Source organism: Homo sapiens, chromosome 2, assembly GCF_000001405.40.
Source record: "Homo sapiens chromosome 2, GRCh38.p14 Primary Assembly".
NCBI lineage: Eukaryota > Metazoa > Chordata > Mammalia > Primates > Hominidae > Homo > Homo sapiens.
The window spans coordinates 194,359,222-194,378,600 of NC_000002.12; the positions used below are offsets into that span (position 1 = coordinate 194,359,222).

The 19,379-nt window shown below is 32.4% G+C and overlaps 1 long non-coding RNA gene across 1 annotated transcript in view; it reads left to right on the forward strand.

Annotated features, from left to right (window-relative positions):
- Nucleotides 1-19,379, forward strand: part of LINC01821 (long intergenic non-protein coding RNA 1821) — a 75,363-nt gene that overhangs the window by 14,953 nt on the left and 41,031 nt on the right. Inside the window, exons 2-4 of the long non-coding RNA NR_110222.1 lie at nt 9,620-9,851; nt 14,915-15,041; nt 17,991-18,116. This is a non-coding gene — a long non-coding RNA (long intergenic non-protein coding RNA 1821). The remainder of the gene's footprint in view (nt 1-9,619; nt 9,852-14,914; nt 15,042-17,990; nt 18,117-19,379) is intronic.

Below are 19,379 nucleotides of genomic sequence, written 5' to 3' on the forward strand. Positions count from 1 at the left end.
AAAATGATAAAAGCCATGAAGCATTGCCTAAAGTTCATCAACAGATTAATGTATAAAGAAAATGTGATATATACCACAATAGTATTATACACAATGGAATACTATTTATTCATAAAACAATAAAATCCTGCCATTCATGGCGACATGAGTGACCCAGGAGGGCATTATGTTAAGTGAAATAAGTCAGGCACAGAAAAATAAATACCACAGATTCTCACTCATATGTGGGAGCTAAAAAACGTTGAACTCATAGAAGTAGAGAATATAATTGTGGTTCTTAGAGGCTAAGAAGGTTAGGGAGAAGGGAGGTTAGAAAGGGTTTGCTTAATGAAAACAAAATTATAGCTAGATAGGAGGAATAAATTCTAGTGTTCCGTAGTACTGTAATATTAATATAATGAACAATAATTTATTGTCTATTTTCAATAGCTAGACGAGAGGACTTTGAATCTTACCAACACAAATAAATGATAACTATTTAAGGTGATAAATATGCTAATCACTCTGATTTGATTATTACATATCGTATTTGTATATATCACAACATCACATGGATGTCATAAATATGTAAAATTATTAGATGTAAACCAAAAATGAAAGAAAAAATATGTAACATAAAAGGAAAAACACAAAATTATCAAATAGTGTTTATGTTATGAATTCACAAATAATAATCAGAGTAGATATGTGGTATTGCTTATGTTGACATATATGGATAAGACATGATCTTAAGAATTCATAGAAAAAACTAATTATAAAACTACACATAAAATAAAATTTCTAATTTTAAATGAGAATAATAAAATAAAATTGCATAATGTGTCAACACTAAATTGTAAATTTTTTTTTAACACAGAGTGGGAGAAAATATTTGCAAATTACCCACCTGACAAGGGATTAATAACCAGAATATATAAAGTAAATATTTTTAAAATCTGGATATTAGTTTTCCAGAAAACAGATATAACAGGATATACCTCTCTCTCTCATTCCCTTTCTCTCTCTCTCCCGTATCTATATAATATATAAAAATATTATATATATGTATTTTAAATGAGTATTGAGCTTTCTTAAAATCTGTCATACATTAGAGAGAAGGAAATTATAGAAATTGGCTCATGCAATTATGGAGACTTAGCAAGATCAAAATCTTTAGGGTAAGCCAGCAGGCTGGATACCCAGGGCAGAGTTTCAATTCAAGTCCAAAAAAGCCTGCTGCCATAATACTGTCTTCTAGGGAGATCAGTCTTTTTCTATTAAGCCCTTCAAATGTTTGGATAAGGCCTACCCACCATATGAAGGGTAATCTACTTTACTCAACTTCTACTGATTTAAATATTAATCTCATCTAAAAAATACTTTCTTAGAAGCATCTAGAATAACATTTGACCAAAACCTGGATACCACAGCCTAGCCACAGTGACACATAAACAAATCATCAAAATCCAATATACATAATGAGTTGGTCCTTTCAAATTATTATTTGTTCTTTCAAGAATTTTTTTTCAATTTCTGCAGTATTTTAAATTTTTATTTCAATATTATTTGGTAGATACTAAAATAGCTACAATTCTTTACCCCTTTCTTTTATCTCTGCACTTTACAAGAGTGTTGTTTTTTCCCTAACTACTGAATCTGGGCTGTCCTTGTGACCTGTTTGGTAATATATTGCTTTAGATGTGAGTTATGCCAGTTCTAAAAATAAGCCTTAAGGGACATTGTCTGCTTCCATTCTCTCACTTGTAACCTCTGCATTTGCCTTATGAACAAGGCTGGTTTAACTTTCTGGAGCCTGCGAGACAATGTGGAACTGAACCTATTCAGCTCAGTTTCTACTAGCTCCAGTTCCAGAAATAATATCATACCTTACCAAGAACAGCAGAAATGCTTAGCCCACCCGAAGACAACCATAGACGCAGGAAGGAACCTAGGAAATACCAGAGGGCAACCCAGCAGATCCACATAGATTCATGAGCAACAAACTGTCTATTGTTTTGCCAGTAAATATGGCAGAATGTCTTGTTACACAGCAGAGTAACTGATAAATTTTATTTCTAAACCTTTATTTCTAAACCTTTCCACGTTCAAAATTGGATACATTTTGATATAATTTATACAACAGTTCAAGAACATCCATTCATTTTTCTCTCAAAACCTTGTGAATTGTTTTATTGTTCTCTAACATTTGATTTGCTGATAAAAAAAAATCTTAACCTATTCTGAATCTCGTATTGGTAGATTATCAAATTTTACTTTGGAGCTATCTGATTTTAATGTTATCCCTTAATATGTAAATGTTACCAGGAATTGTCTTCTGTATATCTATATGTACATTTCAGCTTTGTCTTCTGTATATCTATATGTACATTTCAATCTTGAATAAGACATATTTCAGCATAGGAATTTTTTCTAATGGATTAATGATTATCCAGCTCGTTCTTTTAATATCCAAGTTCTAGTTCACATAAAAATTTCTAGAAATGTCTTCTATGTAGTATAATTTTCATTTAAACTTATTTATTTTGGGTCTTCTTACTATAAACATTCAAAGAGCAAAATTATAATTAATGTCTTTTTAAGTAATATTCCATCTACAATTTAGTGCCTCTAAATATGAGACAATATGCAATTTTGTGTGTGTGTATATATGTGTGTGTGTATGTGTGTGTGTGTCTGTCTGTAGATGTTTTAATTTTACATAAATGGTTCTGAGATTTTTTTTTTTCTCTACCTCTATACCATGTTCTGGTTTCTTGAACTCAATTTCTCATTAATTCTTTTCTTTTACATCTTGATAATTCTAATTAGGATATTTTAAATTGTATTCAATGTTTTGGGTCAACTGAGTTTTAAAGGGAAGCCTTTGCTTTATCTCAGCTTGGAATCTCTTCTTTATATATATGAATTTTTACTATATTCAGAGCTGAAAAAGGAAATTTCTCCAATTTACTAAGTGAACATTATGTGATAAATAAGATTGCTTCATGGTACATCTTTGTGCCATATTCAGCTGCTGTGAGATTAGACGTTGTCCTGGGTTTTAGCTGAAAAATTACCCAGTTCATTCTCAAAGTTTCCCTTCTTGTGTCATCTACATTAGGTATTTCTCCTAATGTTACCCTCCCCTTGTCCCCCACCCCCTGACAGGCCCTGGTGTGTGATGTTCCCCTCCCTATGTTCACGTGTCCTCATTGTTCAACTCCTACTTATGAGTGAGAACATGCAATGTTTGGTTTTCTGTTCTTGTGATAGTTTGCTGAGAATGATGGTTTCTAGCTTCATCCATGTCCCTGCAAGGGACATGAACTCATCCTTTTTTATGGCTGCATAGTATTCCATCATGTATATGTGCCACATTTTCTTTATCCAGTCTATTACTGATGGACATTTGGGTTGGTTCCAAATCTTTGCTATTGTGCTGCAATAAACATACGTGTGCATGTGTCTTTATAGTAGAATGATTTATAATCCTTTGGGTATATGCCCAGTAATGGGATTGCTGGGTCAAATGTTATTTCTAGTTCTAGATCCTTGAGGAATCACCACACTGTCTTCCACAATGGTTGAACTAATTTACACTCCCACCAACAGTGTAAAAGTGTTCCTATTTCTCCACATCCTCTCCAGCATCTATTGTTTCCTGACTTTTTAATGATCACCATTCTAACTGGTGTGAAATGGTATCTCATTGTGGTTTTGGTTTGCATTTCTTTAATGAGTGGTGATGATGAGCATTTTTTCATATGTTTGTTGGCTGCATAAATGTCTTCTTTTGATAAATGTCTATTCATATCCTTTGCCCACTTTTTGATGGGGTTGTTTTTTTCTTGTAAATTTGTTTAAGTTCTTTGTAGAGTCTTAAGTAGATTCTGGATATTAGCCCTTTGTCAGGTGGATAGGTTGCAAAAATTTCTTCCATTCTGTAGGTTGCCTGTTCATGCTGATGATAGTTTCTTTTGCTGTGCAGAAGCTCTTTAGTTTAATTAGATCCCATTTGTAAATTTCGGCTTTTGTTGCCATTGCTTTTGGTGTTTTAGACATGAAGTCTTTGCCCATGCCTATACAGAGTTTCATTAGTATGCACCAGGTACCATGCTGTATTTTATTTTATTTTTGCTTCTATAGCCTATGTAAAGTCTCAAGAGCCCAATGAGGAAGGTACTTTAATACTATATTTATAGTTTGGGAAGCTTGGGCTACAGAAATTAGTCATCTTGTTCCAGATGGCATGGCTCTTATTTGGTAGAGCTGGTATCCTAACATATGTCTATCTGATTATAGTTATTTACCACCATATGGCTTATGGCAGGGCAGTAGAATTTGTTTTATCTATCTGTCTATCTCTCTCTCTCTTTCTCTCTCTCTCTCTTTCTCTCTCTCTCTCTCTGCATCCATTTATCTACCTATCTAACCATCTACAATGTGTATATATAAAAAGAACAATGTGTGTATGTGTGTGTGTGTGTGTGTGTGTGTATTTTTTAATGAGCTATTAGCAAATAATAGGGTTAAATGCATGGGTTCAGCTGATCATCTGGGAATCTGAAATTTTCCTGTTTCTCAATGGAAAACAGCTTATCTATAATTTAATGGAGAAATTTGTAAATGAAGATTAGCATAACATTTGCCACTATTTGTTAATGTAAATTTTTGTTCAAATTTAATTAAATTCAAACTTTGAATTTAGATTAGACACCTACATAGGCTGTTTTGAGGAGTTCTGAAAGAAATTTGCTGTGCAGGAAGAATGAATGAATAAATGAATGAATGAATACAAGTAGGATCAAATTAGGCCTGGTAACATTATGCGGAAATGAGGGTGACTCATATAAAGTTACTGGGTTAATTTTAATACAGTTTCACATAACATAGCCTTAAATTTATAGTAAAAAAATTTGTTGACATTGTTGCAACATTAAAGAATGACAGATCATTCTTTGTATAATTTAGTCAGCACAAATATTTTAACTTTAAATAAGTCTCTAAAGGCAAATCTCAACATTTTCCAGTTCGGAGAGAAAAAAAGGACTATTCTGCCAAATTGCATACACAAGGGTATAGAAAAAATTTTAAAATGTTTGATTGTTTTATTCTTTAAACCTTTAGCCACCTTTGTCTGAAAGACAATTACCTTGGCTAATGTACAATTTAATTTATTTTAATGTCAGATTCTACTTCAGTAAGTACAGTGAATTTCTAAATTAGACACTATTTTAAAATATTTGTTTTTAAAATGTTTATGTATCTTTTAAGTAACCACTTAAATCAGCCCCTTTGTAATACAATAAGCTGCATATTATTATAGGTACTTTTAATTTAAATTACATTTCCAACTTTGTAATCATATAAGCATATGTTCCACATAATGACAGTCATCAAGATAATATTGATGTATAATTCATTTTGGAAGTTAGCCACATTCTTGCCTGCTCTGAACACAGAAACCTGTCATATGAATATATCATTCTATTTAGATTGGGAATTAGAATGTGTAGACTTTTATGACAGATCTTAGAAAACAAAAACAAAAACTAAAACAAACAATAAATAGTGTTGTACCCCTATGTAGATCTATGATTAAAATTAGCTTCCATGTCTGGTTTTTATTGTTTATGTTTATTTTGTTTTATTTATTTATATATTTTTAATTTCAACTTCAATATATAAATAAAAGAGATATTTAGTTAGGTTTCCCTGAGCAAATCCAATGCAAGTTCTTTTATTATTATTTTTATTTAATTGTGTTAAGAACACTTAACATGAGATCTACCCTTTTAACAGATTTTTAAGTGTACATTACCTCTTCTTAACTACAAGTCTAATGTCATACATTAGGTCTCTAGAGCTTATGCATGTAAAACTGCAACTTTATACTCATTGATTAGCAACTCTAAATCTTCCAAATGATATCTAAAAATACATCACAATCACATTCTAGAAATTCTTTGAGAGGAAACTGACGTAATCAATGTTTAAAAGATTTTCTTATACAATTGTATGTCACTTTGCAGAAGCCAGTTTAATAATTGCATTTTGGATGTTAGAAAATATGAACATCTGGTGGGAAAAATCCTTAGAACAAATATAAGATAGGATACAATATTCTATCAAAGGAAGGCGATTACCTTGACAATTCTCTTATGGTTTGATTTGATTTATTTCTCTTCTTTATTTTCATTTAATTGCTATAGGTTTTTTGGGAAAGATATATAGCTTTTGGCAGAAGAAAATCAGTGACAATGACTTAGAAGAATCTTAATCTCATGAAAGAAATAAATGCTTGTCAGTCAAGAAGTTGTAACCTTTACCTTGTTTTGACCTTTACATTTTCAAGGTGAGCCTATTATTTGGAAGGGAGTAACACAAAACTCCACAGGATGCTCTATGATCAATACAATCAACAAACCTTCACACTGTATGTTTAAAGGTATTAAGAAGATAAACAAACACATCAGAATTTTACCAGTTGGAATAATCCTGTATTGGATGCTTGCCTCATTTGGGGATTTATAATTGATCTCTTCTCTATCCTGAACTTCACAGTATTACTCTCAATGACTCTACAAAAGAAAAGGAGAGCTGTTAGTTAAATGTTAGAAAATTTTTTGGTTTAAAATTGAAGACAACTTGCATATTTATTAATTATATAAGGTGAAACATGGGAAGGAAAAGTTATTTTTTAAATTAAATTTTTACCTATACTTGTCCCTATATTAGTCCATTAAAATATTTTTGAGTACCTTCTATGTATATGTGACTGTTCTATTATGTGAGGACAGAGTAATAAACAAAATATACATGCTGTCTTCCCTTTTAGAGCATATATGCTAGTGCAAAAATGAATGTTGAACACTTTGAGGGGACATTAAGATACGTAATCAAAATTGTGATAATAATCAGAAAGAAGAAGGATATGACTAGAGCATATGACAAAATGCCCTGACCTGACCTATAAGAAAACTTATTTGAGGAAGTTTAATTTTGTTGTCTTAAAAGATTAAAATAAATTAACTAGCTTGGGGGTATGTGACCTGAGTGAGAAGGTGAATTTAGGAGTGGAAGCAAGAGAGAAGAGATGTCCCAGAAAATGTAACACAAAGGTCAATATCACTGAGATGTGAAGGAGCATGTCACGTCAGGAACTGAGAGAAAACATTATCATTAATTATCAGAGAAATGCAAATCAAAATGACAGTGAGATATCATCTCATATCACTCAGATGGCTGCTGTTAAAATGTTAAAAAATAACAGATGCTGGTGAGGTTGTGGAGAAAAGGAAAGCCTTATACACTGTTGGTGGGAATGTAAATTGGTTCAGCCATCATGGACAGCAGTTTGCTGATCTCTCAAATAACTTAGTACAGAGCTACCATTCCACCTAGCAATTCCATTACTAGGTACATACACAAAGAGAGAAATAAATCATTCTACCAACAAGACATATGCATGTGTACGTTCATTGCAGTGTTATTCACAATAGGAAGCCATGGAATCAACCTAGCTACCCGTCAACTGTGGATTGGATAAAAATGTGGTACATGTACACCTTGGAATACTACATATCCATAAAAAGAACAAAATTATGTTATTTGCAGCAACATGGGTGCAGCTGGAGGCCATTATCCTCAGCAAATTACTGCAGAAACAGAAAACCAAATACTGCATGTTGTCACTTATCAGTGGGAACCAAACATTGAGCACACATGGACATAAAGATGGGAACAATAGACAGTGGGCAGATTACTAGATGGGAGAGGGAGGGAGAAGGGAATGAGCTGAAAAACTACCTATTGGGTACTATGCTTGCTACCTGGGTGACTGGATCATCTATACTCCAAAACTCAGCATCATGCAATATACCCATGTAACAAAACTGCATACGTACCTCCTGAATGTAAAATAAAAATTGAAAATAAAATACTGGTAGAAAAATTTACAAAGCATGTGTTGGGGTGATCAGACCCAACACCAGACCGTGGGGGCTACGAAGTCCGGCAGAGTCAAAGGAATGAGATAAGACAAGTTAAGGTGTAAAGTGGGACCGGGGGCCAACGCTAGTATGGAGGCTGCAAAGGCCCAGAGCTCTGGAAGCCCACACTATTTTTTGGTGATCAAACAAAGAAGCAGGTGGTAAGGATGTGGGGGTTGAAAGAAAGCGGTGCATCAAGTGCGTGATCTACAGCTGTGACAGTTTAGCATTTTCTTTGAAGCATATGGAACATGTTCTGCTACTTGAGATAATGGGACACATGTTCTTCTGGTTTAAGACACAATCAATCCACAAGCCTGGGAGTGCCAGAAGCAAGGAGCTATCAAGTCTAGACACATTCCAGAGGCCATGAGTGGTTTTATGCCCTGAGCCCTGGATTCCATCCAAGCCACGAGGGGTTTTATGCCCTGGGCTTAGATTGTGGTGCAGCAGGGCAGCCTTCCGCCCTTTGGCAGAGAGCTTGGTGTTCCAAAGGCCTTGAGGGGCTTTAGACCCTGGACCCTGGACATGTTCCAAGACTCTTTTACATTATGTCAGGCATGCAAGCCCTGCCTCAGCTTTTTTCCCAACACTCAGCTTTTTCCTAACAGCATGTAGGGCAGATAATGAAGCCTGTAAAGCTACCAGGCTTTACTCTTTAATGGCATTTACCCTGAGAAGGCTCAGTCATCAGTACCTGTGTGAAAACTCTCTCTGTCTCACTTGGTTAAAGTTTTCATTTCTACTAGATAAAGTTTGGTTTTGTTTTTGAAAATTGCAAATAAACAAGGGAGTAATATTTTGGAACTTTCCGAAAACACTGTTTATCCACAGAATTTGACAGTAATCCAGTTTGCCTGCATTTAGTTAGCTTTCCTTCCAGCTTTCCTTCTGTCCTTTCAACATGCATCATTTGGTCTTCGAGCATTCCCTTGCTTTCTGGCCAATGACATTATGGGCTTACCTTGTATTTTCACTGGCTTAGATCTACGGCTAACATTTTTTTTTAAAGATCCCTGGCTTCTTTTATTGGAAAACTGTATTTAGTAACTAAGATTTTGGTGCTGGATATGGCATTGCTTCTAGGTCTTTTCAGTGGAGATAGCTAGGGATTATATTTTGAAATTATGAATCATATTGTTTTATATACTTATATTTGCAACAAAGATTTTCCTAATTTATTGGATTTTGTAATTTATTATATATTTATTTTTGCTCATATTGATTTCCTGTTTCTAATAACATCAACATATTTATTTAAACTTATATATAAGATAGATTTAAAAATATCATCTTCAAAATTATTTCAAAAATAAAACTACTTAGTAAACTTTACAATTTCTTTTTTATTCTTTTTGTATTTAAGATATAGTTTGCTAAATATTTGCAGAAATTAACTTGATTTTCAAGCTTATGATAAGCCTGGATATCTGTTACTGTGGGTTTAGTTATATGACACCAGTGCCTCCAAAATATGGTTCAAATTTCACCTCTAGATCATCAAATCACAACATAAGCAACAGATGTGCATTATAATCAGTGACCAGTCATGTCACTTTTTTCAGTCTGCTGCTGATTGTTCACTTCACGTTACTCAGTTAATGCATGCCAATGAAATCATGGAGTGATATTGCCTCTTTATCTTTCAGTGATACACTTATGTGAGATTTTGAAAAGTGAAAAATCAAAGGTGGAATTGACCAGTAGATGTAAAAGTACAACAAATAAACAAAAATGGCAATGTTGAAAGTGAAACTGAAATTCAACAGAAATAAAAGAAATAGCAGACTGGGGGGATATTGACTTTGACACCATGATGCCAGAGGAACTTAGTGATGGCAAACTTATCAATATAAAATGAGGATATTGGTTGTCAACTAGGTAAGTAGGTTGAAGGTTTTAAGTTTTCTCTACTCTTCCTCATTTTCTTCTGCCTATTCTAGAAATTTTTGAGCTAAGAAAGTTAAAATCTCCAAATATTATTTTAAATCTATTTGTGCTTTTCAGATTTGTCTTTCTTTTTGTTGTTGTTTCATTTATTTTGAAGGTCTGAATTAAGTACATGTACATTAGCTTTCTTAACATTACTGTTTGGATGATATATCTTTTTTTCCTCATATATCTCTGCTACATCTGTCTTCACAGGAAATATGTATTTCCTTTAGACACAATTTAGTTAGGTATTTTTTCTTACATTTTATCATACAACATCTACCTTTTAATTAGCATGTTTTGGCCATTTATATTTTACATAATTTTTAGTTTAGTTGGGATAATTCTAACATCACATTTGTTTTCTATTTTACTCATTTGGTGTTTCTTTTATCTCTTTGTTTTCTGTTTATTGGTTATTTTAAGAAATTCCACTTAATCTCCATTTTTAAATTAGCTAAAACTCTAATTTGTGAGTATGCAAGTTTGTGTCTTGCTGTTCTGAAGTCGTCTATATATATATATATATATATATATGATATTTATTTTATTTTATTTTATTTTTGAGATGGAGTCTCGCTCTGTTGCCCAGGCTGGAGTGCAGTGGCGCGATCTTGGCTCACTGCAAGCTCCACCTCCCAGGTTCACGACATTCTCCTGCCTCAGCCTCCCGAGTAGCTGGGACTACAGGCGCCTGCCACCACGCCTGGCTAATTTTCTATATTTTTAATAGAAACGAGGTTTCACCATGTTAGCCGGGATGGTCTTGATATCCTGACCTCGTGATCCACCTGCCTCAGCCTCCCAAAGTGCTGGGATTACAGGAGTGAGCCACTGCGCCCAGCACAATAAATATTTTTAACTTACCACATCTACTTTAAAATAATATGAAACCACTTTTTGTATAAAAAACAGAAATTCACATTTTCTTTTATATTTTTGATACTTTTTTGTAACGTATTTTACTTTTACATATGCGTTAGCCCCAAATTATATATATATATATCTGTTACATACATATGTGTATATATATGTGTATATATATATTTGTGTGTGTATGTGTGTGTGTGTATATATATACATATATATATATAAAACAGTCCATTGTTTTTTGAAAGCATTAAAAGTGAAGAAACAGTTTTAATCTCTGCCAACATATTTATTAATTATGGCACTCTCCATTAATTTATGAAATCATTGTTTGCTTCTGGTATCATTTATCTTTAATTTGAAGAACTTCCTATGCCATTTATTATTGAAAATATCTGCTGGCAATGATTTTCTCATCTTTGGTTTTTCTTAAATATTTTAATTAAAATTTAGTTTTTCAAAGATATTTGTGATAAGTATATAATCCTCGGTTATTTTCTCATTTCTGTCCTTTAAAGATATTTGTCAACTCTCTTGTGGCTTGTTTTTCACGTCTAGTTTGTTTTATTGCATACTAACATGGCATATTATGTTGATAGAGCATGTAGATTTTGTTGTCTGCCTTTCAGGAATTTGAAATTTGTTTTGGCAAAAAATTAAGTTACTTCCAGATAAATTGATTACTTGAGGCTTGCTTTATTTTTTATTATGGTGGGTCTAATATATACCAATGCTAATTTATACTTAATTCTAAGATTGACCTTCCTGGACACGCAAATGATCACTCACTGGTTATCAAGATCTCTCTGGTTAAATGGAATTTGAGCATCTCTAGGCTCTGTGTGTGTTCCAAGAATTCTTCAATCTGTACTTTCCTGGCAGTTGGTCTTTACTCATTCATATAATTTCACCTAACACATGTACATATTAACATTTAGAAAAGAGTCAAGAGAGCATGTGTGTAGATATCTGAAGAATTCTTTTTTATTGTTGTTTGTTTTTTGTGTAATTCACTTGTTTTCAGTACTCTGCCTCATAAATTTAAGCAGCCTTTTCCTCTGTCTTCCTAACCCAGAACAATCTCCATTGTGTTCCCACCTATTTTTCATGGTCCACCATTTTTCTCCTGACCAAAAACCAGAAGGATTACTAGAATTATCTAATTTGTTTTCCTTCTCTCAGGGACCACAGTTTCACACTGCTTATTGTTTCAATGCCTAAAAACAGTTGTGTATATACACTGTTCAAAGTTCTAGATTTTTAAGTCAGTATGCCAAGTTCTATGCTATAAACTCCTGCATACTCAGAAGCCATATAGTTTGTTTGCTTTTAAGCTTTTTTAGTGGCAGTGTTGCTATAGTAATGACTTATTAAATCCTAACAGAATGCGGAAGTCTATAATCAATTTTATTATTCAGTTTAGTTTTGTTTAAGCTTCCTGTTTTAAAAAATGTCTTTAATACATAACACATGACTATAAATAAAGATACTTAAAAACCACATTATGATTAAAACCACCAAAGCTGTTAGTGATTAATATACCAAGGGGATAAGTAAACTAATCAATAACCACCGATTTACTCTAATTAATTCTTTAGATTATATAATTTATTTTTTTCTAAAAATAGAGATTGAAACAGAACCATAACCACATGCATCTACTTAGGCTGTTCTATGTGCAGTTTGAGAAATCTGGACTAAATGGCCTTCAAAGAGTTTATATATTTATATATATTCAATAATTAATATAAAATGCATATAACTACATGTCATAAATATATATAAACAAAATTTGAGACATGTATGCTACTTTCAAGTTATTATTCTCCTGCCTATAACAACTGTGCCTCAGACTTCTTTTTTATAAAAATAATTTAAGTAGAATTATTTGTTGGTAGAATAATGAAGTGTCAGTACAAGTCTTCAGCTTTGCTTTCAACAAGTTTGCATCTCATAAACTCATCCAAACTAAAAATGTGATAGCTTGCTTCATGAGCAACATTAGATCAATGATGTATAAAGTAAAAATATCAAGAAGATATTGAAAAGAGATATTCAGGAATAAAAACCTGAAGAAAATATTGCACAGGTAGTTCTTTTTAAACTAATTTCTCATACAGCGTGACTATATCTGTCGCTGAAATTGTTCTTGCTTATAGTCACACTCTTAATAAATCTGTCATAAAAATTTACTCAAATAAATGTTACATAACATTGTGATTGCTAAATACAACTATTTAAAAATCTTCTGAATACACTTTTAACATGAAATAAATTTTAGTGGTGAGTGCCAAAGTGAAGCTCTAGAGGAAATGCAAAGTCTGTCTATACTTGTATAAGTAATCACCCTCCAAGGCTTATGTTCAATGTATCCCAACTTACAAAAATGACAAAATAAAGAGGTATAAAGGGAATTTCTTTGACCATTTCATAGATCATTTCTCTATGCTTCTTTTCTCTTCAAAGAATTATGTTTCAATAATTTGCAGCTATGGAAACAAAATATGTCCTTGGTACCTGTTAAGTACAGTGTGCCACAACTGTGCTCTTTGCTAGAAATACACCAATTCATAATGCTGAGATGCTTCCAGTCTGGCAAAAAAAGTAAAACAAAATGAAAACACAGTTTCACAGTTTCATTGTGTTCTTACTATTATTTGGCTGTTTATTGGCACCAATAGTGCTTTCACTTCCACATTCACTCTGTGTGTTTCATAGTGTTTTTCCCAAGTCCTATTTAGTGAAAATGCCCATTCTTCCAAAGTATTAATAACAATCTCAGCCATCAATTGGGAGAGCGTTGAGTTTTTTCAGCAATATAACATTAAGGTGTAAATGACTCATAGCCTAGATTTAAAGTATTAGTATCTGGAAGAATATTTTTATTTTTAATACAAAAGAATAAATCACTAGAAAAAGAATATTCACAATTCAAACTGATCTGGAGAATTGTTGACAGGCATTATTTCACCCAGGGAATTTTAAACAGAAGAAGAAGATTTGGGGAACAGGCAATATGTCAATTTATTCCTAAAAGAGACTGCTCATCAATTTGATAGCCATCACATTACAAATTAACTCCAAAGCCAATTTTTAATAAGTGATTTAATCTACTTTGGGAATTTGAAATTTGGGGCTTATCTTCATACATACATGTACACTTAGTGATTGGAGACAATTGGTATTATAAGTACCCTGTGGCACAACCTTCCAAAGAGGAGGATTAGCAAAAATTTATATTCAATGTACAAACATTTAATAGCAAATTGGCACTGAAAAGTCAAACAATGGGTGTTGGTAAACAAGAGGAACTTACTCTCTGAAATTAGCTTAGAAAACATATATTAAGTATAAGAAATTATCTTCCCACATAGACAATACAGAACAAACATTTTATTAATCAATTTAACCATTGTTTTCTCATTTCCTCACTGTCTCGTTTGTTGTTTTTATGACAGTGATAGATGCTCATGTGGACTTCAAAAAATTATACCATTTTTCTTTCTACCACTGAATTTTCCATGTTGATTGAGTTCAATAATATAATCTTGTGATTTAAAGACAGATTTTTAAAATGTGATTTTCACTGCATATTGTTTCTTCAAGGAACGGTTGTTTATCATGTATCATCATTTTTGTTTCTCCAGTTCTAAAAATAATTTTAACTCACATTTATGTCTGTGATTATAATGCTCATTTCTTGAACTTTTACATTACAGCCTTTCAGTTCTCGCATTTTTTACTTGCTCACTTTACTAGTGTATGTATTTATGTATTGATTTCAAGTAGGTGACCTGAATTATTTGAGTCCCTAAAGTATGTATGTATTTCTCTGACTTTCCTTAAAGAATACATTATGGCTGAGTGTACATTCTTGACCCCTCTGTAATCTTTTCAAAAATAGCATGAATGGTATTCACCTGTCTTATGGCATTTAGTATTGTTTGAGTAAATGTATAAGAAATCTAACTTTTGTTCTACAGCTGGCAAACTTTTTTTTTGCCAGCTGTAGAACAAAAGTTAGATTTTATTTTCAGGGAAAGTTTATAATGCTTGTTGTCCACAGCATTTTTATTTGGCCTATTTTCTTTCTTCTTTGATTAGGAGGGATTTAGTCTCATCCATATTTTTGCCAAAAACAGGTTGTGTGGTGGTCCTTGATCTTGTCCATCAAGTCCTTTTTCCCAAAGGATAACTGAAGAAGATCACATACATTCCAACTTATTGAGTCTGATAGGTATTCATCTGATGAGCTCCTCTTCAACTGAGGTAGAACCTTTTATTTATCCCACTATTCTCACTATTATAACTGATAAAGTGCAGTAACTTTCATTTTTCATCATGTAAAGCTGCCATGGACCTTGATGTCTATGTTTATTGCCTAGAATGTTTTATAAATGAAGTCAATAAATGACTTCCCCCATCCACATCCACTCACTAGCATTCTCCCAATTCTTATCTTATTTGTTATGTGATGGAGAATGAAAAAATAATGTATTGTGTGGGAAAGTGAGATGAGAGATAACTTAGTGTATTAATATTCTCTGCTGTATAAAGTTATTCCAAAACATAGGGGCTTAAATAATAAAAAGTGTTTATCATCTCACACAATTTATATTGCTCAGAAATTTGGGAGGCAGTTAGTTGGTTAGTTCTTGCTCAGGACTTCTCAAGGTTTTATAGCCAAGGTATTAGCAAGATATGCTGTCATTTTAAGGCTTAATGGGGCTGGAAGATTCAGCTCCAGGATTGTTCACTCACATGACTGGCAAGTCTGTACTTCCTGTGGGAAAGAGGCCATGGTCCCTTGACATATGGATTGTTCTGTAGTTCCATAGACTGCTGGGATATACAAATCGTAGTCTTTGTGCCCACAGGAGTGAGTGCTCCAAAAGGGAGCAAGATAAAAGTAGTAATAAAATGTCTTGAATGTTTTCAACTTGGAAGTCACACACTATAATATTTACAATGTACTATTATAAATTACATAGGTGAGGCCTATATTCAGTGAGGAGGAAACTGACCATACATGAATGTGACTATCAGGCTAAAGGAATCATTTGAGGCTTTAAATATATATATATACAGATTTAGGAGGTGCAAGTGTAGTTTTGTTACATGGACACATTGTGTAGTGGTGAAGTCTGGGCTTTTAATATAACCATCACCTAAATAGTGAATATTGTACCCAATAGGTAATTATTCAACCCTCACCCCCACTTCCACCCTTCCACCTTTTGGAGTCTTCAATGTCTGTTATACCCTTCTGTATGTTGATGTGTACCCATTGTTAAGCTCCCACTTCTAAGCAGGGATTTGACTTTCTGTTTCTGAGTTATTTCACTTAGAGAAATGGCCTCCAGCTCTATCCATGTTGCTGCAAATGACGTGATTTCTCTTTTAGGGCTACATAGTATTCCATGGTGCATTTGTGTTCATGTTTCATATTTTTTCTAAGTCCAATCATCTGTTGATGAACACAGGTTGATTCCATGACTTTGCTATTGTGAATAGTACTGTGATAAATATTTGAGTGCAGGCATTTTTTTCATAAGATTTCTTTCCCTTTGGGTAGATATTCAGTAATGGGACTGTTGGATCAAACACTAGTTGTCTTTTCAGTTATTCGAGAAATCTCTATATTGTTTTCCAAAGAGGTTGTATTAAGTTCCATCCCACCAACAGTGTATGAGGGTTCCTTTTTCTCAGCATTTTTGCCAACATTGAGTTTTTAACAATGAACATTCTGAGTGGTGTGAGATGGCGTCTTATTGTGGTTTAAATTTTCATGTCTGTAATGATTAGTAATGTGGAGAATTTTTTTTCATGTTCATTGGCCATTTATTTGTATTCTATTGAGAAATGTTTGTTCATGTCCTTTATTCACTTTTTAATAAGGTTATTCGTGTTTTTCTTTAGTTGTTTGAGTTCCTTGTAGATTCTGAATATTAGCCCTTGCTGGATGCACACAGTGAAAGAAAATGTTATCCTAATATTATCTGTGTAGTTTGCTGATTATTTCTTTTGCTGTGCAGAAACTTTTTAGTTTAATTAGGTCCTATCTGCATATTTTTTGTTTTCTTGAATTTGCTATCGAGGACTTAGTCATAAATTTTTTGCCTAGGCCAACGTCCAGAACAGTTTGTTTCATTTTTTTCTCTGGGATTTTTGTAGTTTTAGGTCTTACATTTAATTCTTCAGTCCATCTTGAGTTAATTTTTATATATGGTAAGAGATATTGATCCAGTTGAAGGCTGGCACCACACCTAGGTTCCCCACAAAAAGCCAAAACGGTAGAAATTTTACTCGCTAGTTTTACCTTTGGAGTGGGCCTTGCATTGCTAAGACTCAGAGCAAAGAGTGGCTAAAGATTAAATTACCTTTTGATTGAGATTCTTAGCCTTTTACTTTTAGCCTTGTATCTGTGGCAGTGCTTATGACTTCGCTGTTCGTGGGCTTATTGAGTATTTGGGCCTGGTTTCTTAAATGGATTGTGTTTAGTAAATATTTGGTTTTGACTGTGATATTGCAAATTCTAAATGTCAATGTTATGAGTTTTCAAATTGATGTCTTTATATGTAATCTCAGAGAAATCGACCCAGTGATTATTTGTCATATGCTTTTCTTTATCTTCCTCATAAAAGTAAGCTTAATTTTGCTAACTTGTGTTATTCAATTATATGTAGAAAAATTAATTAATATTAAGAATGTTAATGTTATTCAGACTGATGAAAGTGTTTCCAAACCTGACACACAAGGGAAAACTGATCACTATGTATATTTACTTACAATATTATTTTTGTTTTAATTGTTTTATATGTATTTTCCATTAATTGTTTTTAAAAAATGTGCATTATAAAAGAACCTCTTCATAAAAAAATGTAAATTCCAGTTGAATGGGCAAAATATATGTAATAAAAGAAAGACTATGGTAGTTGTCAAAGTATGGGAAGTTTGAGATGATACAATTATTAGATAAAACATTTTTAAACTATAGAGAGAGAAAATGTTTTTTGTAATTTGTTAGTAAGTTGACTTTTTTTAATATTATATTTAAAGAGAGTAGATTTAAAAGGTGTACCACAGGTCATTTTCATGTGTATTTTAAGTGAAGTGGAGGGACTATACTTATATTTTTACTTACTGACTTTGATGATATAATGTTTGATAACAGAAATTTTTAGCACTCTGTAAATTATTGAACTATTTCATTTCCAGGATTGAAATGCTGTTTTTCTTCCCTGGTACAATGTTAAAGCTTTAAACTCTTGTCAATGATGTGATGTTTCATCTGCAATGATCTACACTAGAAAAATAAAAATGTAGTTACTGACAAAAAAGCAGGTAAGAAAAATAATTTTTTTACTGATTTATGGATATCCTACTTTCATATATAATATTGCTTGAATCCATGTAATTTTCTGGAAGAATATCGAAAAAATACTAATTTTGTTCAAATATTTGACTATAAACCCACTTTCTATTTTTTATCCCCTAAAGAAACATTAACTGAACTAGTACATATCTTTAGTAAATGATATGACCAGCATGAAGAAAAATCAAGAGGAAAATGTAAATAATTAAAATTACTAACAAAAGTACTAGCAGCTATTAGTTTGGTGCAAAAGTAAATGGTTTTTCCTATTACTTCTAATGGCAAAAAACACAATTACTTTAGGACCAAGTGCATACATTGTTATTTTGATTAGAGTGTGATCCGCTTTATATGATTCATTTGCTACAATTCAACTCCAGAAAATATGCACATTTGATATTTTTTAAAATCTAACTATATTCCTCAGAAAGCTTTGAATCTATCTATATATTCATTTATATATTCATTCAAACATATTTGTACTTTCTTCTCATTCTGTTTTTCTACCCGAATGAAATTAACTTATATTTTTAAACAGAAAATAATTATTTCATAATATAAGATCACATAGTTGTTTTAAATAAGAAGTATTGTATTGTCAATCCAACTTGTAAACTCAATCATTTTGGAAATATGGTGGTACCTCCAAATGGACAATTATTTAAAGACACTTCAATAGTTTTTAATAGATTTCAGTCATTAATCTTTCTCTAAATATGAAGCCATACTGTTACTTGAGAAAGACTGCCAACCAAGCTGGTGGCTGAATAATTCATAGATTATAAAACTGTGTCTCTTTGTTTTAATATATAGTGTTGTCTTCTTAAGATATTCATTTTTAAAAGGTATTTACAAACCAAGTTACTCAAATACATATCTTAGCAAGATATCTGCTATACATAGAAATGTATGTGTTAATGATAATCATCAATATAATGCCAAGTTTTCATAAAATATATGAAGTTTTCAAGAATATTGGTGCATTTATAAAATCATCAAAAGTTTAAATTTTGAAACCTACTCTTCTGTCTTAAGGACTCCAGGTTTTAGATGCTAATTTCCATTGGTCCTGTACTATTTGTACAGATTTTGGGCATCATAAAGAATATATGGAAAGAGAAAGAAGTATTGGCTCATATGCAACTTATACAATGTTTGTTAATAATATAATCTTTCGTATCACATTTGTTCTCTAAGAAACTTTGATATATAAGGATTAAGGTATAAAAGCA